The sequence below is a fragment of the Homo sapiens genome, chromosome 16, assembly GCF_000001405.40.
Source record: "Homo sapiens chromosome 16, GRCh38.p14 Primary Assembly".
Lineage (NCBI taxonomy): Eukaryota > Metazoa > Chordata > Mammalia > Primates > Hominidae > Homo > Homo sapiens.
The window spans coordinates 1,771,882-1,796,276 of NC_000016.10; the positions used below are offsets into that span (position 1 = coordinate 1,771,882).

At 64.3% G+C, this 24,395-nt stretch overlaps 5 protein-coding genes across 18 annotated transcripts, besides 14 other annotated features; 2 read left to right on the plus strand and 3 right to left on the minus strand.

The window, feature by feature from the left end:
* Nucleotides 14–1,253, minus strand: MRPS34 (mitochondrial ribosomal protein S34). 2 transcript variants are annotated; one of them, NM_023936.2, is made up of 3 exons: nt 918–1,253; nt 723–765; nt 14–632 (listed from the first exon to the last, which is right to left on the minus strand). In NM_023936.2, exons 1-3 carry the CDS (start codon nt 1,236–1,238, stop codon nt 340–342), a joined length of 657 nt encoding a protein of 218 aa, NP_076425.1. In that variant the 5' UTR covers nt 1,239–1,253; the 3' UTR covers nt 14–339. The 2 variants fall into 2 exon arrangements, with proteins under 2 accessions (NP_076425.1, NP_001287829.1); NM_001300900.2 differs by having other exon boundaries at nt 14–653.
* Nucleotides 298–387: an enhancer, noted in NCBI's record as "active region_10236". NCBI's record gives its function as "activates an Ori minimal core promoter by ATAC-STARR-seq in GM12878 lymphoblastoid cells {active_cell/tissue: GM12878}" and the evidence as "EXISTENCE:reporter gene assay evidence [ECO:0000049][PMID:35858748]".
* Nucleotides 868–1,007: a silencer, noted in NCBI's record as "silent region_7002". NCBI's record gives its function as "represses an Ori minimal core promoter by ATAC-STARR-seq in GM12878 lymphoblastoid cells {active_cell/tissue: GM12878}" and the evidence as "EXISTENCE:reporter gene assay evidence [ECO:0000049][PMID:35858748]".
* Nucleotides 929–9,821, plus strand: EME2 (essential meiotic structure-specific endonuclease subunit 2). The gene is made up of 8 exons (NM_001257370.2): nt 929–1,593; nt 1,824–1,960; nt 2,379–2,471; nt 3,160–3,251; nt 3,434–3,527; nt 3,688–3,803; nt 3,916–4,105; nt 4,187–9,821. The coding sequence occupies exons 1-8, from the start codon at nt 1,347–1,349 to the stop codon at nt 4,355–4,357; spliced, it is 1,140 nt and encodes a 379-aa protein (NP_001244299.1). The 5' UTR covers nt 929–1,346; the 3' UTR covers nt 4,358–9,821.
* Nucleotides 1,178–1,317: an enhancer, noted in NCBI's record as "active region_10237". NCBI's record gives its function as "activates an Ori minimal core promoter by ATAC-STARR-seq in GM12878 lymphoblastoid cells {active_cell/tissue: GM12878}" and the evidence as "EXISTENCE:reporter gene assay evidence [ECO:0000049][PMID:35858748]".
* Nucleotides 1,368–1,467: a silencer, noted in NCBI's record as "silent region_7003". NCBI's record gives its function as "represses an Ori minimal core promoter by ATAC-STARR-seq in GM12878 lymphoblastoid cells {active_cell/tissue: GM12878}" and the evidence as "EXISTENCE:reporter gene assay evidence [ECO:0000049][PMID:35858748]".
* Nucleotides 1,498–1,807: a silencer, noted in NCBI's record as "silent region_7004". NCBI's record gives its function as "represses an Ori minimal core promoter by ATAC-STARR-seq in GM12878 lymphoblastoid cells {active_cell/tissue: GM12878}" and the evidence as "EXISTENCE:reporter gene assay evidence [ECO:0000049][PMID:35858748]".
* Nucleotides 1,818–1,927: a silencer, noted in NCBI's record as "silent region_7005". NCBI's record gives its function as "represses an Ori minimal core promoter by ATAC-STARR-seq in GM12878 lymphoblastoid cells {active_cell/tissue: GM12878}" and the evidence as "EXISTENCE:reporter gene assay evidence [ECO:0000049][PMID:35858748]".
* Nucleotides 1,938–1,997: a silencer, noted in NCBI's record as "silent region_7006". NCBI's record gives its function as "represses an Ori minimal core promoter by ATAC-STARR-seq in GM12878 lymphoblastoid cells {active_cell/tissue: GM12878}" and the evidence as "EXISTENCE:reporter gene assay evidence [ECO:0000049][PMID:35858748]".
* Nucleotides 2,175–2,963: an enhancer, noted in NCBI's record as "H3K27ac-H3K4me1 hESC enhancer chr16:1824057-1824845 (GRCh37/hg19 assembly coordinates)". NCBI's record gives its function as "activates a minimal SCP1, AML or CMV promoter by ChIP-STARR-seq in naive and primed H9 embryonic stem cells {active_cell/tissue: H9 hESC(naive and primed)}" and the evidence as "EXISTENCE:reporter gene assay evidence [ECO:0000049][PMID:30033119]".
* Nucleotides 3,799–4,299: an enhancer, noted in NCBI's record as "H3K4me1 hESC enhancer chr16:1825681-1826181 (GRCh37/hg19 assembly coordinates)". NCBI's record gives its function as "activates a minimal SCP1, AML or CMV promoter by ChIP-STARR-seq in primed H9 embryonic stem cells {active_cell/tissue: H9 hESC(primed)}" and the evidence as "EXISTENCE:reporter gene assay evidence [ECO:0000049][PMID:30033119]".
* On the minus strand, nt 4,831–10,690 carry SPSB3 (splA/ryanodine receptor domain and SOCS box containing 3). 5 transcript variants are annotated; one of them, NM_080861.4, is made up of 7 exons: nt 10,621–10,690; nt 9,477–9,614; nt 6,554–6,731; nt 6,253–6,440; nt 6,065–6,167; nt 5,866–5,991; nt 4,831–5,562 (listed from the first exon to the last, which is right to left on the minus strand). In NM_080861.4, the coding sequence occupies exons 2-7, from the start codon at nt 9,600–9,602 to the stop codon at nt 5,216–5,218; spliced, it is 1,068 nt and encodes a 355-aa protein (NP_543137.2). In that variant the 5' UTR covers nt 9,603–9,614; nt 10,621–10,690; the 3' UTR covers nt 4,831–5,215. The 5 variants fall into 5 exon arrangements, with proteins under 5 accessions (NP_543137.2, XP_005255730.1, XP_047290822.1 ...); XM_005255673.6 differs by having other exon boundaries at nt 9,312–9,614; XM_047434866.1 differs by having other exon boundaries at nt 10,152–10,690.
* Nucleotides 10,298–10,657: a silencer, noted in NCBI's record as "silent region_7007". NCBI's record gives its function as "represses an Ori minimal core promoter by ATAC-STARR-seq in GM12878 lymphoblastoid cells {active_cell/tissue: GM12878}" and the evidence as "EXISTENCE:reporter gene assay evidence [ECO:0000049][PMID:35858748]".
* Nucleotides 10,868–11,017: an enhancer, noted in NCBI's record as "active region_10238". NCBI's record gives its function as "activates an Ori minimal core promoter by ATAC-STARR-seq in GM12878 lymphoblastoid cells {active_cell/tissue: GM12878}" and the evidence as "EXISTENCE:reporter gene assay evidence [ECO:0000049][PMID:35858748]".
* NUBP2 (NUBP iron-sulfur cluster assembly factor 2, cytosolic) lies at nt 11,079–17,305 on the plus strand. 7 transcript variants are annotated; one of them, NM_001284501.2, is made up of 8 exons: nt 11,079–11,155; nt 11,996–12,185; nt 14,656–14,774; nt 14,876–15,074; nt 15,796–15,950; nt 16,060–16,170; nt 16,257–16,326; nt 16,688–17,305. In NM_001284501.2, the coding sequence occupies exons 4-8, from the start codon at nt 14,921–14,923 to the stop codon at nt 16,831–16,833; spliced, it is 636 nt and encodes a 211-aa protein (NP_001271430.1). In that variant the 5' UTR covers nt 11,079–11,155; nt 11,996–12,185; nt 14,656–14,774; nt 14,876–14,920; the 3' UTR covers nt 16,834–17,305. The 7 variants fall into 7 exon arrangements, 6 of the variants coding, with proteins under 6 accessions (NP_001271430.1, NP_036357.1, NP_001271431.1 ...); NM_012225.4 differs by lacking the exon at nt 11,996–12,185; XM_005255027.4 differs by lacking the exons at nt 11,079–11,155; nt 11,996–12,185 and adding an exon at nt 13,143–14,021.
* Nucleotides 11,158–11,367: a silencer, noted in NCBI's record as "silent region_7008". NCBI's record gives its function as "represses an Ori minimal core promoter by ATAC-STARR-seq in GM12878 lymphoblastoid cells {active_cell/tissue: GM12878}" and the evidence as "EXISTENCE:reporter gene assay evidence [ECO:0000049][PMID:35858748]".
* Nucleotides 11,795–12,021: a silencer, noted in NCBI's record as "fragment chr16:1833677-1833903 (GRCh37/hg19 assembly coordinates)". NCBI's record gives its function as "represses an EF-1alpha promoter that drives an FKBP-Casp9 reporter gene in an ReSE screen in K562 erythroleukemia cells {active_cell/tissue: K562}" and the evidence as "EXISTENCE:reporter gene assay evidence [ECO:0000049][PMID:32094911]".
* Nucleotides 15,086–15,254: a silencer, noted in NCBI's record as "fragment chr16:1836968-1837136 (GRCh37/hg19 assembly coordinates)". NCBI's record gives its function as "represses an EF-1alpha promoter that drives an FKBP-Casp9 reporter gene in an ReSE screen in HepG2 liver carcinoma cells {active_cell/tissue: HepG2}" and the evidence as "EXISTENCE:reporter gene assay evidence [ECO:0000049][PMID:32094911]".
* IGFALS (insulin like growth factor binding protein acid labile subunit) lies at nt 18,532–23,027 on the minus strand. 3 transcript variants are annotated; one of them, NR_027389.1, is made up of 2 exons: nt 22,958–23,027; nt 18,532–20,520 (listed from the first exon to the last, which is right to left on the minus strand). NR_027389.1 is itself a non-coding variant. In NM_004970.3 (2 exons), the coding sequence occupies exons 1-2, from the start codon at nt 21,769–21,771 to the stop codon at nt 18,719–18,721; spliced, it is 1,818 nt and encodes a 605-aa protein (NP_004961.1). In that variant the 5' UTR covers nt 21,772–21,824; the 3' UTR covers nt 18,532–18,718. The 3 variants fall into 3 exon arrangements, 2 of the variants coding, with proteins under 2 accessions (NP_004961.1, NP_001139478.1); NM_004970.3 differs by lacking the exon at nt 22,958–23,027 and adding an exon at nt 21,756–21,824; NM_001146006.2 differs by lacking the exon at nt 22,958–23,027 and adding an exon at nt 21,756–21,824 and having other exon boundaries at nt 18,532–20,634.

Genomic DNA, 24,395 nt, shown 5'->3' on the forward strand with positions numbered 1-24,395 from the left:
CCACGACCCTGGGTACTTCTTTTCTCTTTATTCCCTTTCATAGCTTCTGCCGGGATCCAGGCAGAGAGAGCACTAATGGGGGAAAGGGAGCGAGCGCTTCCCGCTTTCCCCAGCGTGGGCCCTCGGAGTTGGGTGTGGGGGCAGCAGGGCCAGAGGAAAGGCACAGGTGGCGATTTGCCCCAGCCCTCCCCCCTAAGATGCAGACCCTCAGAACACGTCGCGGAAGGTGAGCTCCCTGCTCCGAGAGGCAGACTCGGGTGTAACGCAAAGACGGTTTCTTTCATCAATAAGGTCCCCACTGCCTCACAGCCCCTAAGGCCACCCGCTGGTTCTGGCATTCTAGACGGGGGTGCCCTTGGCCCTTCCTTTGTCTTCCTGTTTTGCAGGGTAATCCCAGGGTTCCATGCGTATCCTCTGCACATTCAGCATGGGCTCCTCGGTGCTTGTGTCTCCATTTTTCTGTCGTTCTGCGATAATCATGGCCCGGAGGAGAGGCGGGTACGGCACGGAGGCCAGGCTGTCTTCCGGCGCCGGCGTGAACGCGGTGAAGGCCTCCTCCTCGTGCTTGGGCACCAGCCGCCAGTCATGGTACATGACGTGTTCGATCTCCCGCGCCTCGCTCTCAGTCTTCCCTGATGAAGAAAAAGAGGCGTCTGCACACACTTGCTGTGCCGTCGGCGGTCGGCATCGAACTGCCGGGCACCCGCTCTCCCGAGCCTTACCTTTGAAGGTCAGGATGCCCCAGGCCTTCCCGTGGTCCAAGTTCTGCAAAGCCAGAAGGAAGCGGGGTCAGCTCGCAAAGCTCTCGGCCCCCGAGGTCAGGAGGTGGGAGCCTCAGCCACGCAAACCTGCAGGGAGGAGGGGAGGCGGGGAGACCAGGCGGCTGCAGGGGCGGGGTGCGGACGGGGTGCACGCACCTGCGCCGTGTAGTCGGGCCGCACCCGCGTGAGGCGCCAGTAGCACGGCTCGTCGTGCTGCCACAGCCAGGACTTGCGCGTGACCAGGCGGCCCAGGCCGAAGAGCGGGAGGCGGCCGAGCAGCTGCAAGAGGCGGCTCTCGCGGCGCACGTCGGCCCAGGCCCGGACCGGCAGCCGGCGTCCAGAGAACGGCCGCGTCAAGGTCTCGTAGTCCACCGCGTAGAGCTGGGAGTCGCGCGGCCTGTTCAGTTGCTCCCGCAGGGCGCGCACGCGGCGGGCCAGCTCCGCGATCAGCCGCGGACGCACCTTCTTCCGCGCCATGGCGGGTCCGCGTCCTCAGCGGTCCGGCCGGAAGTCACCGGAAGAGGCCGGTGTCCCAGGCTAAAGTGTTCGGTCGCGGCCGGAAGCGAGGAAGAGGTCGGTCCGGCCATGGCGCGGGTTGGACCCGGGAGGGCGGGGGTCTCTTGCCAGGGCCGGGGCCGGGGACGGGGCGGGAGCGGTCAGCGGCGACCTCCAACCTGGGAGATCTCAGACTCCGACGCTGAGGACTCCGCCGGCTCGGAGGCCGCCGCGAGAGCCCGGGACCCAGCGGGTGAGCGCAGGGCGGCTGCCGAGGCGTTGCGGCTGCTGCGGCCGGAGCAGGTCCTGAAGCGCCTCGCGGTGTGCGTGGACACAGGTGCGGCGGAGGGCACGGGCGATACTCGGGGTAGGAAAGGCCTTTCTCCGCCAGGCGGCGCCCTCTGTCCGACTGGGCGGGGCGCGCGTGCCGAGGGGCCTGGGGCCGGGCCCGCCTCCCAGTCGGGGGTTTGTGCCGAATGGAGACTCCCCGGTCCGGCCACCCGCCCAGGTAGGGCGCTCGCGAGGGTGGAAGGAAGCAGTGACCGCGCTCCTCTCCCCCGGTCCCAGCCATCCTGGAAGACGCCGGTGCCGACGTCCTGATGGAGGCCCTGGAGGCCCTGGGCTGCGAGTGCCGCATCGAGCCCCAGCGCCCGGCCCGCAGCCTGCGGTGGACCCGAGCGAGTCCCGACCCCTGCCCCCGCAGCGTGAGTGGTCGCGGGTTCCCGAGGGCCAGCCGCGAGTTGGCTGTTTTGCTTCCATGATTTCAGCCCTGGAGCTGTCCCTGAGGCAGCTGCCCTGGGCCGTGCGCGTCTCGCGGATGGGTAAAGCAAGGATGGAGAACGGGAAGTGGAGGTGCCCAAGCCGTTCTGCTGGTATAGAGCCGAGCTGGCTGGAGAAGGTTCCGTCTCGATTCAGGCTGTGGTCTGGATTCCTGCCAGCCACAGAGACCTGGCCTGAGCTTGGCCTTGGCAGGAAAGGGAACACTGGGCTTCTGTAGAGCAGGCCTGTCAGGGCCTGGGCTTGGCTGGGGCCACGAACCGCTTTGCTGCTGGACTGCCCAGGCAGGGCCCCTGGGGCACCCGGGGTTGAGACAGGCAGCAGCGCGTCCCCATGTCCCCACAGCTGCCTCCTGAAGTGTGGGCTGCAGGTGAACAGGAATTGCTGCTGCTGCTGGAGCCCGAGGAGTTTCTGCAGGGCGTCGCCACACTGACCCAGGTGCTCGGGTGGTGGCAGTAGTCCCTCTCTAATCAGGAGGGGTGGGTTCCCAGCCGGGAGGCGCCTGCTCCGCCGGTCCCTGCCCCTGTAGACGGGGCTGGAGGGGGCATGGGGCAGGCCAGGACTCCTCTCTGATCCAAAGCCGTAGAGGTTTCTAGGGTGAGATGGAGAAAGCTCCTGGGCACCTGCGGAGGCTACAGCTGCTCCTAGAGGATCCTGAGAAGTGTCAGGAGGCCGGGGTCCGGGCAGTAGGCTGCAGGCTTCGTCCTCTGACAGCAGACAGCCTGGCCCCTGCCTGCGGGGAGCAGTGCTCAGGTGCTGTGGTGCCAGGTAGCGTGGGGTTAGGCTAGACCCCCTGCCAGGTCCCTGTGTCCCAGGATCAGTGTCTCTCAAGCTGCTGCTTTGTGCTAGGTCAAAGCTAGGCTGGAGTACAGAGGTGGACCAGGATGAGGGGCTCAATGGAACTGACATGTGCCCGAGCAGCCACTCCAGGGTCTCCTTAGCCTCTTTGGCCTCGTGGGAGGCACAGAGCTGGTTTTCTCAGAAGGGGTAACGGAACAGAGGCTCCTCTCGGCACCACTGGCTCTTTTTCAGGCTTGCTGTTCTGCAAACCAGCTGTGGCCTGGTGGCCCATGGCCATAGGCCGCAGCCTCCTGTGAACAACTGTGCCACACGTTCTCATCTTCAGATCTCTGGCCCAACCCACTGGGTGCCCTGGATCTCCCCCGAGACCACCGCCCGGCCCCACCTGGCTGTCATCGGGCTGGATGCCTACCTGTGGTACCGCTCACTCTCATGCCCACAGCAGGGCTGGCTGGGACGGGGGTTCAGGGGAGGTGGGCACACTTCTGGGGTTGCTGTGGCACAGCTGATCCCACTTCTCCAGGTGGGCTCTGGCAGAGGCCAAGCTCGGGCAGGGCAGGCCCCATGGGGAGCGGGGAGGAATGGTCACCTCTGCTCAGGTCTCGCCAGCACGTTTCCCGGGGGACACAGCAGCCAGAGAGCCCGAAGGTGGCCGGTGCCGAGGTGGCCGTCAGCTGGCCGGAGGTGGAAGAGGTGAGGGCCTGTCTGAGCTGGGTGAGTCAGGTGGCCTGGGTCCCAGTGATTGGGCTGCTGGCTGGGTTTGGTTCCCAGCGTGGTACATGGGGCAGCTATCAGCTGTGTGTCCCGGGTAGCCTTCCTCTGGCTCGTGCCCATCAGCTTGCCTCCTCCCCAGGCCCTGGTACTCCTGCAGCTCTGGGCAAACCTGGACGTGCTACTGGTGGCCTCTTGGCAGGAGCTGAGTCGGCACGTGTGCGCCGTTACCAAGGCTCTCGCCCAGTATCCCCTCAAGTGCGTGATGCCAAGGCTGAAGGGGGGCAGGATCACCTCAAGGTAGTGGTGCCTCCCCGGCCTTTTGGGAGCTGCTCACATGAGGTTCTAAAAGGCTTCTCTCTGTCCCCAGGCAGTACCGGGAATCCCAGGCCTTCTCCTTCTGCACAGCAGGGCGCTGGGCAGCCGGCGAGCCAGTGGCAAGAGACGGCGCAGGGCTGCAGGCGGCCTGGCGGAGGCAGATCAGGCAGTTCAGTCGGGTCAGCCCAGCCGTGGCTGATGCAGTTGTCACAGCCTTCCCCTCCCCCCGCCTTCTGCAGCAGGTGGGCCCCTGCCTCCTCCAAGCCCTCCAGGTGCAGAAGCCCCGTCCCCAGGCGCCCTCTCATGCCTTTGCCTGCTCCTAGGCGCTGGAGGCCTGCAGCACGGAGCGGGAGCGCATGGGCCTCCTGGCCGACCTTCCTGTGCCGCCCAGTGAAGGCGGGCGTCCCCGCAGGGTGGGGCCTGACCTCTCCCGCCGCATCTGCCTCTTCCTGACCACAGCCAACCCTGATCTCCTGCTGGACCTGGGCTCCTGACCACACGTGGGACCACCAGGACAGCATGCAGCCTTGGGGACAGACCAGACACCCTGGGCGGTGGGGGAGGACCCCCAGCCACATGTGGACCCTCAGCCTGGGTGGGTTCTCTGGCTGAGCAGGTCTGACCTCAGGGGAAGGGTGGGTGGTTGCAGGGGAAGTTTTAGGTAGCTGGGAGAAGAGGGGCTTCTGGCTGGCAGATGGCTGGCGGTTCCTGTGCTGAGTCCTGAACACGTAGGCCCCAGGGGAGGCCTCAGCAGCAGGGCTGTGCCCCCCCAACACACACACACACTCGGCAGGGACCAGAAGGCAGCTCCAGGGCCCCACTGCCACCTGGAGGCTTGGGGTGTGGCACCCTCAGCCAGAAGCAGTAGGGGACTCCCAAGGATGTGGAGGGGCAGTGAGGCCTGGGAGAAGGCCCAGGCTGCTCGCAAGCCCGGCCTCTGCACGGATACGTTTCAGCTCACGCCATGTGGGTGTTAGACATCAACTCTACATTTATTGCAGTCCTTTAAGTCTATGACGGCGGGGCAGCCGCTGACAGCATGCAGAGCAAGTTAGGAAAAACCGAGGCCCTGTGGGAACAGCAACGCGGGCTCCAGCCAGGCTCTCGTCCTCGCAGCCTCCCACAAGACCTGGGGCTCAGGGCAGCCGCTTCCCCACCCAGCACAGCAGCAGAGGGGCCCTAGAGCCCCCACAGAAAGGACTGTCCCAGCCTCGGGAGCAAGAGATGGCTCCCTCCGGACGGGCCTCATCCAACTCCGCCCTGGAGTGTGGCTGGAAGGAAGGGACAGAGAAAGAAGGGACAGAGGAAAGGGGCTGTCCCAGCCCAAGAAGGCAGTTCCACTGGGAAGTCAGTCAGGTCCGGCGGCAGCGCTTCCTCTGGCAGGGCCGAGGCTCGCGACTGCTGGGGTGGGCGGAGGTCGCTGCCTGGGGATCGGACACTGGAGCCTTGCGGCGGCTGCAACTCATGCTCAGGACCCAGCCCAGCTTGTTGTGTAGCACCTGCTTGAGGCCCGGCGGCAGCGGCAGACCCTCCAGCGTGTCTCCCGAGTCTGGCCGCAGCTGGCGCAGGCGGTGGCAGCACAGGTACTGGAGGGAAGTGGCGCTGGCACAGGAGCGGGTGACCTTCATGCTGCTCCGGGCCGCCGTGGAGCACACCATCGGGTAGAATCTCTTGTTCTGCAGCTTGGTGGCTGCCACACCTGGAAGGGAGGGGCCCAGCCTGAACCCCAGGCAGGGAAGGGGCCAGCTACTGGGCGCAGCCCCTCAGACCTCACGCTACAGTCACCCGGGTGGGCAGCTGGCACAGCTGAGGCAAGGCAGGGTGCACGCGCTGGCCCTGCCACTCCAGCCTGGCCTCACTGTCCCACCCCCTGGGACCCTGGGGCCTCAGGCTTCTGGGAGGAACCCTTTCAGAAAACCTCAGTGTCCCCTGGGCTGGGGCGGGGTGGCTGCCTCCCTCGGGGTGACAGCTGAGAGGAGCTCAAGTCCTGTGACGGCCTCACCTATACACTTCCTGTTCTTGAAAAAGGTGAGTGTGCCGTGCCAGGTGTCCAGGTGCACGCCAATGATGGAGCCCTGGCCGAACCGCGATGAGAAGCTGGTCTTGTCGCCCTTGTGGTGGAGGAGGCCTGGGGGCAGCCAGGGTCGCAGTGAGCCCGGGAGCTCCAGGCTCGGCCCCGCCCCACCCTGGGCCTCACGCACCCGTGTAGGAGAGGCCCCAGCTGTCCTCATCCCTGCCCAGCAGGCTGCAGAACGTGTGGCGGTATTTGTCCAGGTCCACATCCGACGTCCCGATGCCCACCATCTAGGAACAGGGGCCAGGCAGAGGGCGCGGGGCTGGGCTGCCGGAGCCAGGTTCCCCAGAAGCACCCTGGGCCGAAGCAACTTACCATGTCGGTGCCGTAGACGGGAGAGGTCATCTTGATCTCCCAGAAGTGCTGGCCCTCCCCCAGCTCCTTGGTGCCCCGGATGGCCGCTGTGCCGCAGCTGTACTCCATGTGGAAGCTGACCTTACGGTTGTCACAGCTCAGCAGGGTGGCTGATGACTTATTTAAGTCATCCCAGACCCAGTCGAAATCTGCAAGAGAGGCCCAGGCTGGGGCAGCCCTGAGAGCTCCATGGGGCTCTGCCCTGCCCACCCCCAGGCCCGCCCGCAGTGCAGTCCCAGCAGGGGCTGGGCCCCACGCTCACACTCGTCTTCCTCTCCGCAGCGGCAGTCCCTGCCCCGGTGGGCCGAGTGCAGGCTGCTACAGAAGGAGGCCTCGCTCTGCCCAGCACAGTCACAGAAGGACTCGCCGGTCACGGGCACCGCACTGGGGATGGATGGCGGCAGCGTGGAGTACTCGGGGTCGGAGTCCGAGTCGCTGTGCTGGGAGAGAAGGGCCGGCTGTTACTACCTGTTGCCCGCTCTCTACCCTCTCACCCTTGCCCTCTGTCCCTGTCCCACCCTGTCCCTGACCCACCCAGGAAAGGATGGGGGTCCAGGCCTCCAGGGACTTCACAGTACCCCGAGCGCACAGCCCAGGCTCCCTCCCAACGGGCTCCGGCTCTGCCCCATTCTGCATGACCAGGAGGGCCCTGGAGGCCCAGCCACAGAGCAGTAGCCAAGGCTGCCTGGCCTCCAAGTGGTTTCTAGACGGTGGATAAGCCCCAGGTCCACCCCACCTGCCCAGAGCTGAGATGGTGTGGACACCTTCCCTGCTAGGCCAGCCCTGCAGGGGCCCCCAGGCAAGGCCACCACCCCCACACCAGGCCCAGCTGCAGCCACCCGGCCTCAGGGCAGTCCCCACCACACTGTGGCCCAACGACCTTCCTGTTACCTGAGCAGACCTGGCTCACCACAGGGTCCTACTGCCCAGTGCCCACTACAGGCCCCGCCCCTCCTGGTGCAGGTTTCAGCTGTCACCTCCCTGAGGCTTCTCCAGCCCCTTCACCCCTGTTCCATTTTTCTTCTTTTGCTTCACTGAAGTTCTCCTTGGTCCTGATTCTTGGCCTCCTCCCACCAGAACGTGAGCTCCTTGTGGGAGGCAGTGCCCCTCCCAGCCTCCTCCCTGTCACAGACTGTGTGGGGGCCACCCAGGGGCTGAATGGACCAGGGGGTCAGCAGGGAGAGTGCTAAGTGGTGGCGGGGGGCCTGTGGCAGAGGCCTTGTGACAGTGAGGGTTGAGGGCTGGTCCAGAGAGATGATGTGATCCCCAGGAGAAGCCACAGGGGACCATGACATGGGCGCCACCAGCTTCCAGGTGAACGTGGACCTATCGAAAGCCAGCTTCAGGGCAGGACACTGTCCTTTCTGGAGGGGATGGCCCCACCCCACAGACAAGGCAGGCCCAGACAACTCTACCCCACTGCCTAGAAGTGCGGGTCCCCAGAGCCAGGGTAGACCCCCTGAGTCAGGAGCCCGGGCACAGAACTGAGCACCTGCACTGCAGGCCCAGGGCCGGGTTCCCTGGAGAAGGAGAAAGACTGAAGCCACTGCCTACCTCCTGCCCACAACAGACTGCAGGCCCATTTGGTGACACAGGACAAGCAGCACATGTGTCGAACACTGCCGAGCCCGCAGGCACGCCTGCATCCCACAGCCACGAGCCTGTGAGGCTCAGGCATGTGACCTGCAGGAGCTGGAGGCGGGCGGGAAGGCAGGTGGGGGCCTCTCCCTGGCTGGAGCAGGGAGCTCCAGGAGACCTCAGGACGGCCCCCACCCGGTGGGTAAGGACCCTGTTTCCCAATTTGCCCCCAAGGCCTAATGGACCCACCGGGCTTAGGGAGTCCTCACTCAGAGGAGAGGAGCCCACCCCTCCCAGGACACCTGGCTGAGCCGGAACAGCAGCGCAGGGGAGCTGTGACAGCAGAGAGCAGCACCAGGTCACACAAGCAGCCGCCCCGGAAGGACACGGCCCATGGTGACAGAGGACAAGCAGCATGCGTGTGTCAGACACTGGCCTGGCCTGTGGACACGCCCGCGTCCCACAGCCATGACCCTGCGAGGCCAGGAGAGACTGCTCCAGGGCACATGACCTGTGGTAGCTGGAAGTGGGGCAGGGAGGCGCAGCCACACTCCTGCTCTGGTCCGAGGGAGATCTCAGGAAACCGACTGGGAAATCACCCCCCACAGGGACCCCCACCCCTCCCAGCCTCACTGCGCCCGTCAGGCCAGGCAGCTGCCCTCAGGGTCTGCCAAGGTGGGGGTCAGGGGCCATGGGGGCAGGTAGCTCTGCCTGCAAAGCCCACAAGCATGTCAGATCACCTGGGCTGCAGACAGACAAACACCTGAGCTGTTCTGAATACCTTCAGGTTCCTGGCCTCCCTGAGCAAGTGCAGAAATTTTTACCTTCAAGGATCAGGGTTTTTCTGTTTGTTTGTTTTTTAACACACATATATGTGAACAAAGAGTATGCGTTTGTACTGGCAGAAGAAGCGTCTGGTAAGACAACCAGCAAGTTAACAATGGTCACCTCCAGAAATGGGCTGGGTAAACCAAAGAATTTTTTTGTTTTTGTTTTTTTTGAGTCAGGGTCTAGCTCTGTCACCCAGGCTGGAACGCACTGGTGTGATCACGGCTCACTGCAGCCTTGACCTCCCTGGCTCAAGCAATCCTCCCAGCTCAGCCTCCTGAGTCGTTGGGACTACAGGCACGTGCCACCACGCCTGACACATTTTTTAAATTTTTGTAGAGACAGTGTTTCACCATGTTGCCCAGGCAGGTCTCAAACTCCTGGGCTCAAGTGGTCCTCCAGCTTCAGCCTCCCAAAGTGCTAGGATTATAGGTGTGAGCCACAGTGCCCAGCCCCGTAGTGGAGAATTTCTGTTGAATGAACCAAAAGCAACTGCCAACCTCTCCATGCACCATGTGTTTCAGAGGAGAAAGCACAGTGAAGAATGCAGTGTGTTCTGAGGTCCTGTCACCCCTGAGGCTGTGTGTGTCCTTTGCCAAATTAAAGAGTCTTACTGAATGCGGTGCATCCAGGAGACAGGCCCAGGTTTGGACTGGTCCTCTAGCCTCAGAAGCATCTTTTTCTCCGACTGATTCCGTGTTCAGGTAATGTCTGCCTGCCTGCCTAGGGCATCTCCACACCTTAGGCCAGCCACGTCCGCCTCGCCCGCTGGAACCTACCTGCCCATCAGAGTCGTAGCCCCAGTTAGTGGAGCCTGCTAGAGCCACGGCCCGGGCATCTGCGTCTCGGCGGGCTGCACTCAGGACGAAGTGCCAGGCCCTGCTGTTCCGGGGGCGTCTGGCCATGGTGGAAAGAATCTAGAAGAAAACACAGGCTCTGGGCAAAGGAAGACTCACAGCACTCCCAGCCCTGAGCTTCCAGGCTGGGCCACGGACCCACTCAAAGTGGGGACTGCAGGGGCCGCACCGGTGCCCAGCCAGGGCTCCAGAACGCTTCAGGAGCCCGTACCTCACTCCAGGATCTGAGCAGCTCAATAAAACCCAGGTAGATCCTGTGAAACGCCACCCAGACACCCATGACTCCGGAATGCGAATCCCAGCCCCTCTCTCCGGTTCCACCTCACGAACCTGGCTGCCCCGCCCGCCTGTCCCGCAGGCATCTAAAACCTCCACTCGCTCCTCCTCTGTCGTCCGGTTTGACAAATGGCATCTCCGGCCTCCCAGTTCCTCATGCCAGAAGCACCGTGACCGCTCCCCGACACCTTCCCCTCACGCCCGGCCCGACCGCCGCACCCGCCTGCATCCTCCTCCCGCCACCGTCTCCTGGGCCGCGCAGCTCGCCTTCCCCTCCGCTCGCTACCGCCAGGGCTCCTCGTGAAACACAAATCTTAAAACCTGCTCAGCGCTGGCCGCTGTTATGGTATAAAATGCAAAAGGCTGCGAGGGCCAGGTCTGCGCTTCCCAGGCCACCTGCCTGGCACCTCCCTCGCCAGCTCCGGGGTTCCCGCCTAGCCTTCCAGGGCCGACCCCTGCGCCGGGCTCGCGGCTGGCAACGCCCGCTGGGCCCCGGGTGGGGTTCCAGGGAGGCCGGGGCGGATCGCGGCGCCCGGACCGCCGAACCCTGCCCAGCCCCAGGCGAGCGCGTGTGCAGCGGGAGCCGCCCTCCCCGGCGGCAGCCCGGCCTGGCTGTTCCCTCCCGCGGGCGCGCGGGTTCCGGAGTCGGCGGCACCGGGGAAGCCTCTCTCGGGCGCGGCCCTCCGGAGAGGAACAAAGGCGGCGCCCTGGCCGCGCTGCTACCGCCGCGCCCGCAAGGTCAGCGCGCCCGCCCAGAGCCCGAGACGTCGGCCCGTGCCCCGCCACTCACCTGCAGCCCCCGCTGCGCGCTCCGCCGGCCCGGCCCTGACCCACTTTCCGCCCCGGAGCGAGACGTAAACAATCCCCGCCCCCTGCGCCCATTGGCTCCGGCGGCGAGGGGCGGGCACACCTGTCTCGGAGCTTCGGGAGAGGGGGCGGGAGTCGGGTGACAAAGCTATTGCCGAGAGGTTTCAGGAACTGTCAGTCCTAATCCAACGTTCCTATTGGTCAGTTCCCAAGCGGTTGGAGACAAAGCTCGCGCGCACATTGGACCCGGGTGGGAGGTGGTACCGCAGGCCGCGTTGACCGGAAAGTAGGTCCGTGTCATCGTCTGCGCCGGAACCTGCGGGACCGGATCGAGAGCTCCTCCGGCAAGCTGATTGGCTGGGACAGCAGGATTAGGCCTGTCAAGAAGAGCCACGGGCGGGCACGCACTGCCCATTGGTTGGAAGGCCCTTCGCTCTAGCTGGGAGGCTGACGGCCCGCGGGCGTAAGCGGACTGCAGCCGCGAGCTCCTGGAGGCGGCGGGATGGAGGCGGCGGCCGGTGAGTGGCGGGCCAGGGTGCGGAGCCGCTCCAGGGCCTCGCTTGGGGCCCCGCCGCGTCCCTTCCCGGGGCGGCCTCGCTGCGTCGCGCGCCTCCGGTGCGACCATCACCGGCCGGCGTGGCTGGGCCGGGCCAGAGGCCGCGGCGCGGGCATTTTCTAAACAGGGTCGTTTCCCGCGTGCTCCTGCTTCGATGTGGAAGCTCCGTGATCTCGGAGGGCCTGAGTCGTGGAGTTGGGGGAGCTTTTAAAGTTAACTTTGTTGAGCACCGCGTTGTAGGCGGGCGCGGTGGCGCCTGTGGGCCCCGCTATCCTGGAGGTCGCGGTTGCAACTGCACCGCAGCCCGGGCAAGAGCGAGACCCTGTCTCTAAATAAATCACACGCGCGCAGTCATGAAAGTAAGACGGACGCCAGAATCTCACATGCTTTTAAGTTCTTTGTGGAAGTGGCGCTCTCAGTGTTCAGAAAAGTGTAAGTTGCGCGGGACAGAATTCACACCAGTGGGGACGATCCGTTCGCCAGATCAGCGCCGTGGGCCCTCCTGAGTAGTGGGAGCCGCATTTATCTTCTAAGAGACCTCGAGTCCGATACCAAAAGGAAAACATTCCTCGGACAGCAAGGTCTTGCAGCACAACTCTGACAGATTAGAAACCGAGTGCTGGAGTCTTTTGTTTTTGAGACGGAGTCTCGTTCTGTCGCCCAGGCTGGAGTGCAGTGGCGCGGTCTCGGCTCACTGCCAGCTCCGCCTCCCGGGTTCACGCCATTCTCCTGCCGCAGCCTCCCGAGTAGCTGTGACTACAGGCGCCCGCCACCACGCCCGGCTAATTTTTTGTATTTTTAGTAGAGACGGGGTTTCACCGTGTTAGCCAGGATGGTCTCGATCTCCTGACCTCGTGATCCGCCCGTCTCAGCCTCCCAAAGTGCTGGGATTACAGGCGTGAGCCACGGCGCCTGGCCCAGTGCTGGAGTCTTATTCCAGAGGAGAAGCCTGGAAAAGCCTGTCCTTATTATCAGGACGGATTTACTACAAAGTAAGGATATTACTGAGATTGATAGAAGCTTTTTTTTTTTTTTGAGACAGGGTCTTAACTGTCGCCAAGGCTGAAGTGCAGTGGCACGATCATAACTCACTGCAGCCTTGACCTCCTGGGCTCAAGCGACCCTCCCACCTCAGCCTCCTGAGCACCTGGGACCACAGGATGCACCACCCCGCTTGGCTACATTTTTAATGTGTAGACATGGGGTCTGAATACGTTATTGAGAGTGGTGCGGAACTCCTCCTGGACCGAAATGATCCTTCCACTTTGGCCTCTCAGAGTGCTGGGATTACTGGCGTGAGTCACTGCACCTAGTCCAAGCTTTCGTTTTTTTGTTGGGGGGAGACGGAGACTCGCTCCGTTGCCCAGGCTGGAGTGCAGTGGCACAATCTCGATGACGGCTCACTGCAATCTCCACCTCCCAAGTTCAAGCAGTTCTCCTGCCTCAGCCTCCCAAATAGCTGGGATAACAGGCACACGCCACCACGCCTGGCTAATTTTTTTTGTATTTTTAGTAGAGACAGGGTTTCGCCATGTTGGCCAGGCTGGTCTCGAACTCCTGACCTCAGGTGATCCACCCACCTCGGCCTCCCAAAGTGCTGGGATTACAGGCGTGAGACACCGCGCCCGGCCCCAAGCTTTCTTTAAACGGGGAAAATATGCACATAAAAATTCAAAAGGCCTAGGCTGGGCAAGTTGGCTCATGCCTGTAATCCCAGCACTTTGGGAGGCCGAGGCGGGCAGATCACTTGAGGTCAGATTTGAGACCAGCATGGCCAACATAGAGAAACAGTCTCTACGAAAAAAATAAAAAATTAGCTGGGCATGGTGGCGCACGCCTGTGGTCCCAGGTACTCTGGAAGCTGAGGCGTGGGAGGCTGAGGCACGAGAATTGCTTGGACCCAGGAGGCGGAGGTTGCAGTGAGCCGAGATTGCGCCACTGTACTCCAGCCTGGGCGACAGAATGAGACCCCCTCTCAAAATAAAAATATACATTTACTGTAAAAATATATTTGTCCACCACGTGGAATGATCTGGATTTGCTAACCCATAAAGCTGACCGGGACTCATTGTCCATGGAGAGCGCACTCGCCTTCCTCGGGGAGATGGTGCTTCGCCTCCTTCCTGCACTTCCAGCCCCACTGCCCCACCCGGCAGGCTCATGCTGACTGTGCTTTGCTGACAATCTGCTTAGGAGCTGCCTCAGTTTGCTGAGAAGTGAAATGTTCTTGGGGGAACCCTCAGGGTTGTTGTCCCGGTTCCTGACACTAAGGCCTGCATTTACCATGGTGCTCAGCCCAACACACCAGACAGGCACCATTCCCCCACCTCTGCCAACGAGGAGAGCCCCTGGGGGTTAACACTGCCGCTGGTGCCAGCACTGATGGCAGCATGGCAGTCAGGACCCAGGCCTGACAGAGTCCCCGGCAGCTACAGAAGTGCATGCTCCCTCTCTGCACGGGCCACTTCTGGTACCTCTTGGTGTTGAAGTAATTTAAGTCAGAACCCCTTTTATTGCCCCAGGGGTGACCGGGAGGCCGTGGTCTCGGGGCTTTGTGTTTGCAGGAGTGTGGGGCTGGGGCTGCCTTTTCCGCGTCCCCTGGAGGAGACCTCAGGCAGCCTCTGTAGGTCTGAGGACCCGCCTGCATGCCAGGTTCTCCGGGAGGCTTTGGACTTGGGAGCCTTTGAACGTGCCCTTGAGAGGCGGATCAGAAGGGGGCAGGTTTTACGCATCATGTGTTGAGCCCCTCACATGCACCCTCCAAGGACCTGTCGGGGATGGAGCAGCTTGCTGGAGACAAGGGGCATGGCCTCAGCGGTGGCGCCGGGGTGAGAATGCAGGGGTTTTGCCAAGGTATCTGCACACAGCAGCCCCTGCCGTGTGGCAGGGACAGGATGGGACCCTGGAAGGAAGAGGAGCTGGAGCTGTGCTGGAAGCAGCCGGCTCCCCTCACTTACCGCACATTGCAGGGACCGAGAGCCGGGGACGCTGGTGTGTGACAACGCGTGGTTGTTGCCACCCACCCTGGGCCCTCTGCTGCCTCTGCCGAGCCCAGGTGCACTGGCTGGGGAAAGAGTGGAGTCTGGTTCCCGTTAGAAATAGCAGGGGGCTGGCAGTTTCATGATCATGTGACCCACGTGTGTGTTTGCACACGCGCACGAAGGAACGCATGCACCCTTCCACACAGCGAGAGGAGTTGGGCAGTTTCCACTCTCAGCAGCGCCGCCTCAGGCAGGTGCAGGGAGTGCCGTGGTCTTAGAGGGTCCCCCCGGGTCTGGGGCTGCAGGGGACCTGCCTGGAGGTCTTTACATCGGGGCGAAGTGGGGCACGGGCTGCCTCTGGGTCTGGCGATTCACCACTGCCCCGCTCAGAACGTGGGTGCAAGAGGCAGTGGGTGACCCCGCGTGTGTGGGCACAGTGGGCACCAGGAGCCCTGACCTTCTCTGTCGTGTTTCCGCCCAGAGCCTGGAAACCTGGCCGGCGTCAGGCACATCATCCTGGTCCTCTCAGGAAAGGGGGGCGTTGGGAAAAGCACCATCTCCACGGAGCTGGCCCTGGCACTGCGCCATGCAGGCAAGAAGGTGAGCGCCCTACCCCTCACTGGGCGGAGCCCCGGGCAGCTGCCCGCATCCCGGTGGAGGCCTGGCGGTGCCCCCGGCCTAGGCTGTGCCGCTCCTTGCAGGTGGGAATCCTGGATGTGGACCTGTGTGGCCCCAGTATCCCCCGCATGCTCGGGGCGCAGGGCAGGGCTGTGCACCAGTGCGACCGCGGCTGGGCACCCGTCTTCCTGGACCGGGAGCAGAGCATCTCGCTCATGTCTGTGGGCTTCCTGCTGGAGAAGCCGGACGAGGCCGTGGTGTGGAGAGGCCCCAAGAAAAACGGTAACGGCCGGGCGGCGCGTCCGCCGTCCTGGTGAAGGGGGTTAGCGTCCGTGCCGGCCTCTCCTGTGGAAATGTTCCTCTTCAGCAGCCAGGCCTGTTCCTGGGGACCTGCACATGACACCCACGACCAGGCACAGGGCTCAGGCTGGCGGTGTGTCTCCAGTTGGGTCCGTGCTGCCACACAGCTGTCCCCAACTCCCGGTCAGAGGGAGTGGGGTCTGCTGAGACCCTGGCCATGGCATGCAGGGACCTGAGGCCCCAGTGTGGCAGGTCATAGGGGCAGAGCTGAGGGGGTTCTGGTGCCTCTGGAGCAGGTGGCATTAGACGCCCCCAAAGGCAGGGAGAGGCTGGTGGGAGTGAGGCGCAGGCTGTGGGTGCACCAGTGGGGCATCCACCACGGAGAATGTGGGTGCTCCCATGTGTGGGTACAGACGCCTGGAGGGTCCTGGCTCCGTGTTCTGATTTGGGGCCTCGGGGAGTCAGCGGGGGCTCTGTGGGCAGGGGCCAGACACTGCAGAAAGGGACGCTGTAATGGCCCCGGCCCCATCTTTGCACTCCTGCAGCGGGCCAGGGCCTCCCGAGAGCCTGTGATGGAGGCTGGTGGCAAGTGACACCTGATGGACTGCAGCCCCTCGGCCTGACCTGGCTGGTTCTTAGTGGCGCAGGGCCACGTGTGCAGACCTGCCCTGCCCTGACCGCCCCGTCTGCCCCGTCTTTGCAGCGCTGATAAAGCAGTTTGTGTCCGACGTGGCCTGGGGGGAGCTGGACTACCTGGTGGTGGACACGCCCCCGGGGACCTCCGATGAGCACATGGCCACCATAGAAGCCCTGCGTCCCTACCAGCCCCTGGGGGCCCTCGTGGTCACCACGCCCCAGGTAGCGCTGCGGCACCTTCCCGAGTCCCTGTGGGTGGCTTCCCAGAGGGCTGGGCGGGTGTCCCTGCTGGTGCGCCTGGCTGACCGTGGCCTCGGCTCCTGCCCCGCAGGCGGTGTCCGTGGGGGACGTGAGGCGCGAGCTGACCTTCTGTAGGAAGACGGGCTTGCGGGTGATGGGAATCGTGGAGAATATGAGCGGCTTCACCTGCCCACACTGCACGGTGAGTCCCGGGGGTTGCAGAGGGGGCGAGGCAGCACCTGGCCGGTGGGGGCTTTGGGCAGTGCTGGGCTCACCACCGTCTCCTAGGAGTGCACCAGCGTCTTCTCCAGGGGCGGCGGAGAGGAGCTGGCCCAGCTCGCCGGGGTGCCCTTCTTAGGTGAGTGTCCCAAGCTGGTGCTGGGGTCGCGGCCTCCCATTCCATCTCTGCCCTGGGCGGGTTTGACCTCCATGCCCCCAGTGCCCAAGGGAGAGGAGGGGACGGGAGCGGTTTCCTCCTCTCTTCTCGGGCCACACGCCATGCCGCTGAGACCTGCAGGTCATTCGCCCGCGCCCTTCTCAGGGCCCTCTCGGGTGGCAGGACCCAGCCTGCTGGGAGGGCCGCGGGTCTGGAGGTGGAAATCGTCTGGCAGCGCCTCAATCCCCTCTAAGGCCACGGGTGGTTCGGGTGCGTCCAGCTGAGCCAATGGTGGGAGTGGAAGGTGCGGACATGGCGCCACCGCCTCCACTGTGCCCTGCAGGCTCCGTGCCCCTGGACCCTGCGCTCATGAGGACCCTGGAGGAGGGCCACGACTTCATCCAGGAGTTCCCTGGGAGCCCCGCCTTCGCTGCACTCACCTCCATAGCCCAGAAGATTCTGGACGCGACGCCCGCGTGCCTCCCCTGACTAAGGCCACCTTGCAGCCGCTTTCCAGGGCCACCAAGGGCTCTGCTCCAGCCTCTCAGAGAAACAGAGGCCTGGGCTCGGTTCCCGGGCCCTGCAGGGGCAGGCCCAGGCAGCGTCAGCCGGAGAGCTTCTCCCCGACCAGCCCAGCCCCAGGATGTGTCGCACCAGCAGCTCTGCCTGGTTGGCCTGCAGTGCCGTGGTCTGCGTGCTCTGCAGCTGTGAGACGGGGGCGGCCTGGGCTCTCTTCCCATCCATGTTGCCTACCTGTGCCCCTGGCAGCCGCGTGTCCACACAGTTAGCGGAGCGCGGGACTTCTGCAGTCCTCAGGTGACCCCGGGCCTCCAGCACCCTGGGTCGCTGTCATCTGTGTTTAGCTCGGGGAGTGCCCCCTAAGGGGGCGAACTGACCTCAGGCATGTTTTGTAACTGTAGAGGCGCCTGCCATTAAACGTGTCCGCTGCTGTGGCGACAGATCTGATGTTTCTAGAGTCTTCTGTCCTTCGGGGTCAGACAGCACCTGCTTCTGTAAGTTTCTGGGCTGGACTGGGCCAGGCCGGCAGGTTCGTTCGTTCCGTTGTCAACAAGCCCCTGGGCCCAGGTGCTGATGTGTTTGCATCTTATTTGGTGGGAATTCGGGGAGATTTTGTGATAAACCTGACAGCTGGCCCCTTCGCCGTGGAAGAATGGCCTCCCTGGGACACTAAAGGGGCCCCTCCCGGGACAGAGACCAGAAGTCAGGTTGAGAAGGGAGCTCCAATCCCAGGGGTCCCCTGCACCTCTTCCCAGTGAGACCCGAAAGGAAAGCCCTTCCAGAAAGCAGAACGCGCCATTTTTCCCAAAGGAAGAGCTCAGCCTTCAGCAGGGGAGGACCCTGGAGGTGGGGGCCCGGAACCAACCCGGGCGGCCTCTGGGTGGGTGAGAGGGCACCAGGAGCACCTGGGCTGACGATGCCGGTGCCTGGGGGGGGCAGAGACAAACGCCCACGGCATCTGCAGGGGGTGCGGCTTCCCACGCAAGGCGGACGGCCCGCCCCGCGCTCCCTCCTCACCCCACCTCAGCCGCGCCCTGGCTGCCTGGACCACACCCCTCGGGGACACTGCCTGGTCCTCAGGGCGATCCCTCAAAGAGGAGGGGTGAGACGCAGAGCCCCTGGGGATTCGAGTTGGTGCCATCATTCCTGGAGGATGTTCTGGGGAGCCCGAGGGGCAGCCACGGGGACCAGGAAGACACATGGGTGTGGGGCAGTTGGCCAGGGCGGTGGCGGGGCAGGATCCAGGCGGGGGCCCTGGGCGTGGCCAAGCCGGGGAGGAGAGAGGTGAGGAGACCAAGGCGTACCCAGGCAACACCATCCTCCCCTCCCCTGAGCCAGGTGGGTTTTTTTGAGACAGGGTGTTGCTCTGCCGCCCAGGCTGGAGTGCAGTGGTGCAGTCTTGGCTCACGGCAGCCTCTACCTCCCAGGCTCCAGTAGTCCTCCTGCCTCGGCCTCCCTAGGACCACAGGCATGGGCCACCATGCTATGCTAATTTTTTTTATTTTTTGTAGAGACGGGGTCTCTCTTGTGTTGCCCAGGACGGTCTCTCAAACTCCTGGGCTCAAGCGATCCGCCCGCCTCGGCCTCCCAAAGCTCTGAGACCACAGCTGCGCGCCGAGCCCCCAGCCCCCTCCCTGGTTTCACGTTCGCAGTCACCCACTGTGCCTGTTAGATTCGATTGCCTTTGCCTTTAATTGATGACAGCTGGGGGGGCCGCCATGCCTTCCACCCCATCAGGCCCTTGCGTCTTCCAGCAAGTGCACTGGGCAGGCCCCTGAGGACACTGAGGACCTGTCCCCAGCACAAGGTGAGCCAGGTGGGGGCCTGAGTCCGGGGCTTGAGTCCGGGGACCTGGTCAGCAGGGAGCAAAGTGGGCCTCGCTGAGGTCCCGCAGGTCGAGCCCCACGACCTCGGGCGGGCTGGCACAGGTGATGTTGTTGTAGGTGTACGCGGGCGGCTGGCAATCGTCCCCCTCACAGATGGCCTGGACGAAGCGGGGCACAGCACTGGGGTTCTGCAGGGCGAAGTCCCGCAGCGCCTTGAGAGGGCAGCCACAGTCCCAGGGGTTACCCTCCAGCCACAGGCGCTCCAGGCCCGGGGGCTGCGGCGTGAAGGTCCGCAGTGAGTTGTTCCTGAGGCTGAGGTAGCGCAGCCGCCCCAGTGGTGCCAAGAGGCTGTTGGGCAATGCCTCCAGGCGGTTGTGCGAGACGTCCAGCCAGAAGGCCCGCTGCAGGGGGCCCAGGGCGTCCGCCGGCAGCTCTGCCAGGCGGTTGCGGGAGAGCAGCAGGTACTCCAGCTTGCCCAGGCCCTGGAAGAGGCGGTGGGGCAGGTGCGTGAGCTGGTTGGAGGTCAGGTCGAGCTCCAGCAGCTCCGCCAGCCCCCACAGGCTCTGCTCCTCAATGCCCACGAGGCCGTTGTCCTTGAGGAAGAGTCGGCGGAGCCCCGAGAGGCCGGTGAAGGTGTGCGGGCGGATGCGTCCCAGGCAGCTGCCCTCCAGGTGCAGGCTGTGCAGCTTGCCCAGGCCCCGGAACACCTGCTCCGGAAGGTTCCGGAGACAGTTCCCAGAGAGGTTCATGACCGCCACGTTGGTGAGGCCGAGGAAAGCGCCCGCCTTGACCTCCTGGAGCTGGTTGTGGTCTAGCGTGAGCACCTCAAGCTGCCCCAGGCCCTCAAAGCTGCGCTCAGCCAGCTGCCGGATGCGGTTGTGGCCCAGCTGCAGCTCCTCCAGGAAGTGCAGGTCCTTGAAGGTGCGGGGCCGCAGGCTGGCGATGGCGTTGTGGGACAGCCGCAGCACACGCAGGCCCAGCAGACCGGGGAACGTGTCCTCCAGGAGGCCAGCCACGCGGTTGTGGGACAGGTCCAGCCATCGCAGCGCCTTCAGGCCCAGGAAGGCGCCCGGGGCCACGGCAGCGATGAGGTTGCGGTCCAGGTAGAGTTTCTGGAGCCGGGGCAGCTGCACGAACACGTTTGCCTTGATGGCCCGCAGCGCGTTCCTGCTCAGGTCCAGCTCCCGGAGCTCGGCCAGGCCGCTGAAGAGCGCGGGCTGCAGGTAGGCCAGCCTGTTGCCCGCCAGCACCAGCTCGCGCAGGCTGCCCAGGCCGCGGAACGCCGCATCGGGGAGCACCGCCAGGCTATTCCAGCCGAGGTTGAGGTCCCAGAGGCTGCCGAGGCCCTCGAAGAGCCCGTCCTCCAGCCTGCTCAGACGGTTGTTGCTGAGGCCGAGCGAGGCCAGCGCGGGCGTGTGTGCAAACGTGCCGAGTGCCAGGCTGCGCAGCTGGTTCCGCTCCAGGTGCAGGTGGCACAGGTTCTCTAGGCCCAGCAGCGCCTGTGGCTCCAGGCTGCCCAGCTGGCCGCCCTGCAGGTTGAGGAAGCCCAGGCTGGAGAGGTTCTGGAAGGCTGCCGGGGGGACGGACGAGAGGTTGTTGCCGTCCAGCCACAGGGCTTGGGTGCCGCCCGGGACTCCATCAGGCAGGCGCGTGAGGTTCCTGGAGCTGCAGAAGACGCTGAGCTCATCCGCGTCGTCATCGTAGCTGCAGACACAGGCGGCCGGGCACGCTGGGCCCTCGGCTTCCCCCGGCGTTCCGGGGTCTGCTCCCTCCAGGCTGCGGGGGCCCAGTGCCACCCAGGACAGCAGCAGCAGCGCCAGGGCCAGGCCTCCTGCGGGGGGAGAGGCTTGGGGAGGCGGCCCGAGGAGGGCTCTGCCCGAGTGAGCCTGATACCAGCACAGCCGGAAGCGGCGCTCAGGTGTGAACTGAGGCTCGAGGTCACCCGCTGAGATGCGAAGAAGCCGGTGAGCCCCACAGGTCCTCCGGCTCAAAAGCTGACACTGCGCTTCCCACCCCATGGGACAGAGGAGTGGCCGCCCCGCCCCGCTGCACAGACGCTCAGGGCTTGGCTCTCCAGCTGTGCGCAGGCCACGTGGGCTCGGCCAGGCTGGGTCTCGGGCTGTCTGGCCATGTGGCAGCCGCACCCCCAAGGCAGGCGCTTGAGCCAGGCCAGTCTGCCACGTTGGCCTAGAGGAAGGGGAGGGAACTGAGCCATTGGCCAAGGTCCGGCCATTTTCAGAATATTCTGCAGCAGGTCTTGGTGGGCACTCGCTCACTGCCCTCAGAGGCTGGACAGGGAGCTGGGCACCTCCTGCCCCAGTTAGGCCCCCCAGCGGGGTCTCACCTGCCTGCATCCAGGCCTTGGTCGGGTGCTGCGGGAGGGGACCGGGGCACCGCCGTCGGGGGACAGGTAGGAACCCTGGACCGTCGGCCACCAAAGCTCACATTGCCTTTCAGGACAAGGGGCCACAGGCCCCACAGACCCAGCCAGCAGGCTCCCAAGCAGCGATGACCCAAAACCTCTACTGTATGGCCCCCCCATCCTCAGAGAGTGTGGAATTGCTGGGATGGTGGCAGGGGCGAGGTGGGGCCCCCCCGACTGCCCTTCTGTCACGATGGGTTGGGAGTGGCCTGAGCCAGCTCTGGAGCTCAGCTCAGGCTTGGGGGTGGCCGAAGCTGCAAGGGGTCACCCCACAGAGACAATGGGGTGTGAGCCAACGTCTCCTGCCTGGGCCGGGCCCACAACGCGGGCCGTGCGGGGCACTTCCCGCCGCTGTGCTGGGAGCTGAAGGGTCCGGCCTGCACCTGGCCCTCCTCCCCTGTGCCGCCGCCAGCGCCCTTAGGGTGGAGGACGGGACAGAGACCCCTGGTGCCAGGCACAGCTGTGTCCCCCTGCCAACCCCAGCAGCCGCATTTCCGACTGTGGGCTCCCCAGAGTCCCCCGCAGACCCCCAGAGCTGAGCCCCCCAGAGCTTCCTTGGGGGCTACCCCGGCCTCTCCCCAGCGGGCTCAGGGTCACAGACTGGCCACCCCTAGAGTGGGTGGCGGGGCACTCGGGGGCCTCACCTTTCCTCAGGGCCATCCTGCATGCAGGGCAGGCTGCAGGCAGGCAGCGAGGGAGGGTACGTCTGCTGTGCCGGCCACCCCTGCCCTCTGGATTTCCCCACTGCGGGGCAGCCCGCGCCTGTCACCTGGCTGGCCCAACCCAGCTGGCCCTGGCTCTGTTAACCCCCTCGTGCCGGGCGGCCGGCATCAGCCCGGAGCCCTGGGGTGCAGACAGTGCAGGGGGTGAGGGAGCTTCAGTCGGGGCCCGAGGTAGCCGTAATGCGGCCCTGGGGGCTGACGGCCAGTGCCCGGGCCCCCTGCAGGGCTGACTGGGGAGGGCTGGGCAGCCAGGTTGGGGTGGGGACCCCTTGCAGCAGCCTGGGAGGGGCTGGGGCTTGAGGCCGGTTTGGGGAGCCCAGGGTTTTACCAGGTCCTGTTGCGGGCAGGGGGCTCCTCGGGCAGCTCCTGGGGTCTTGAGCCCACCCCTGGCCTGAGTAGCCAGCCGTGTGGGGCTAAGGGGCTGCCGCCCCTTCCCCGTGCCCCACCCAGCCATCCACCCGCCCTCCCGGGGGTTCCCTACAGCCTGGGTGGGAGCTGCCGTTTGGGCTTCAGGCCCACGGTGCTGTCCAGGGCCCAAGCTCACCCTGCCTCTCCCGTGACCCCAGGGGCGCTGGTGTCTGGCCACTGCCCCGCCCCCAGCCTCTTCTAGGAATGCCTGGCAGGGCTGCAGGCGCCTGTTTGCTTTTGCCCTGCGCCATCCTCGGGGAGTGTGTGGGGGTGGCCTGGCCATGGGAGCCAGGTCTTGTGCCTCAGACAAGCCTCACCTGCCCCTTGCTGTCCCCCAAGGCTCTGGTGAGGGCCTGGCCGCCCCACAGTCACCGCTTGTGTGCAGAGAGGCCACAGGAATGTGTGCCCAGCCATGTCCAAGGCCACCCCTGGGCTCCGTCTCCACCTGCCTCCAGAGGCCCCTGGTTCCCCTCCACCTGCTCAAACCACTTCCCAACCAGTCGCTCTCTCCCCCAGGGCCTGAGCAGGTGCAGCCCCTCCCCTCCAGGTCCCTGCAGGCCCCTCCCCTGGCTGTCAGTGGGGCCTGCCCACCAGTCCCTCGGCAGTGGGAAAGTGTGCAGGGAAGCAGCCGGAAGGGGTGCAGGCGGGGGCACAGCCAGGGCTCGGGGAGACCACAGTTTTCCAGGGCCCTACCCCATCCTCAGCTCCGGCCTCACCTGGCAGGCCCCGTGCAGAGCTGTGGGAAGCCGCCGGCCCACTGTCATCGTCTTCCCTTTATCGAGAATTGATCATTTTCCAGGTGGCGTCTCGGCTCCTCTTCTGAGAAATTATAGATCCACGGGGAGAAAGTCCACACCCAGAAAGACCCACGATCCGTTTACTCAGCAGAAAACGCAGACTCAGCAGGGGCCTGGGGCCTGAGGCCAGCAGACCCGGGCGGCCTCCTCTCAGGAGAGGTCCCCGTGGGGGCCCCGGCCTCCGTCAGGCCGCGCACCCCACCTGGGAGCCCCACACATTCCAGGTGGGAAGGGAGAATCTGTCCCTGTTCTCTTCCTTTGGGAGGGGCCGGGTGTCGCGGGCGGGCAGAGCCTCACCAGGGTTGCGGCAGCCGCGTAAGGGGGCTCCAGGCCTCTTTGATTCCTGTGGTAACGCAGAGGCCTACACACACATTCAGCCCATTGAGTTCCAGAGGCCCCCATCACTGCCGCCACCCCCAATGGCCCCACTCCCCGTGGCCTCTCCCAGCTCAAGGCCGGTGGCCTCCCAGGCTCCTCCATGAGCCGCATTCTGCCTGTCTTCAGGCCGCACAGGGCCTGGCTTTCTGTAGGACAGGACCCGAGGGAGGTGAGGCCATGTCTAGGTCACGTCCTGGAATACATCTGTCCCTGTCCTTCTCACTGTTTCCAGCAATGCCACCGAGCCCTGTGGCTCTGCATCCTGTGGGTGCATACCTGTCTACACTCAGGCCAGTGGCGAGTGGACGGTGGCCATCACCTGGGAGACCGAGCATCTTGTCCAGCACACAGCCACAGGGTCATCTGGCCTCAGCCACTGCTGGTTTCGGTCTCTTGCCGATTTTCTAGTTAGCTGGCTGATTTCTGATTTGCAAGATACAAGAAAAAACAAAAGCATTCAGCACGCACACTCAGGTGTGTGGCCTTTCTGTCCTCTCGTTAGGATTCTGGTGAGTTTTTTTTTTTTTTTTTTTTTTGAGATGGAGTTTTGCTCGTTGCCCAGGCTGGAGTGTAATGGTGCGATCTCAGCTCACTGCAACCTCTGCCTCCTGGGTTCAAGCAGTTCTCCTGCCTCAGCCTCCCAAGTAGCTGGGATTATAGGCATGAACCACCACACCTGGCTAATTTTTATTTTATTTTATTTATTTATTTTTTGAGATGGAGTCTCAGTCTGTTACCAGGGCTGGAGTCCAGTGGTGTGATCTCCGCTCACTGCAACCTCCACCTCCCATGTTCAAGCGAGTCTTCTGCCTCAGCCTCCCAAGTAGCTGGGATTACAGGCATGAGCCACCACGCCTGGCTAATGTTTTGTATTTTTAGTAGAGACAGGGTTTCACCATGTTGGCCAAGCTGGTCTCAAACTCCCGACCTCGGGTGATTTGCCGGCCTCGGCCTCCCAAAGTGCTGGGATTACAGGTGT

Excerpts from the sequence above, each read along its gene's own strand:
- EME2 (NM_001257370.2), top strand. The coding sequence starts at position 1,347 with ATGGCGCGGGTTGGACCCGGGAGGGCGGGGGTCTCTTGCCAGGGCCGG. Across the intron at positions 2,472-3,159 it reads GCGTCGCCACACTGACCCAG|ATCTCTGGCCCAACCCACTG; the intron begins GTGCTCGGGTGG and ends TCTCATCTTCAG. Across the intron at positions 3,804-3,915 it reads CTCGCCCAGTATCCCCTCAA|GCAGTACCGGGAATCCCAGG; the intron begins GTGCGTGATGCC and ends CTCTGTCCCCAG.
- SPSB3 (XM_005255673.6), bottom strand. The coding sequence starts at position 9,602 with ATGGCCAGACGCCCCCGGAACAGCAGGGCCTGGCACTTCGTCCTGAGT. Across the intron at positions 6,441-6,553 it reads CTGCGGAGAGGAAGACGAGT|ATTTCGACTGGGTCTGGGAT; the intron begins GTGAGCGTGGGG and ends CCTCTCTTGCAG. Across the intron at positions 6,168-6,252 it reads CCGTCTACGGCACCGACATG|ATGGTGGGCATCGGGACGTC; the intron begins GTAAGTTGCTTC and ends CCCTGTTCCTAG.
- MRPS34 (NM_001300900.2), bottom strand. The coding sequence starts at position 1,238 with ATGGCGCGGAAGAAGGTGCGTCCGCGGCTGATCGCGGAGCTGGCCCGC. Across the intron at positions 766-917 it reads GGCCCGACTACACGGCGCAG|AACTTGGACCACGGGAAGGC; the intron begins GTGCGTGCACCC and ends CTGGCTTTGCAG. Across the intron at positions 654-722 it reads GGGCATCCTGACCTTCAAAG|ACGCCTCTTTTTCTTCATCA; the intron begins GTAAGGCTCGGG and ends AAGTGTGTGCAG.
- NUBP2 (NM_012225.4), top strand. Across the intron at positions 15,951-16,059 it reads TCGTGGTCACCACGCCCCAG|GCGGTGTCCGTGGGGGACGT; the intron begins GTAGCGCTGCGG and ends CCTGCCCCGCAG. Across the intron at positions 16,171-16,256 it reads TCACCTGCCCACACTGCACG|GAGTGCACCAGCGTCTTCTC; the intron begins GTGAGTCCCGGG and ends ACCGTCTCCTAG.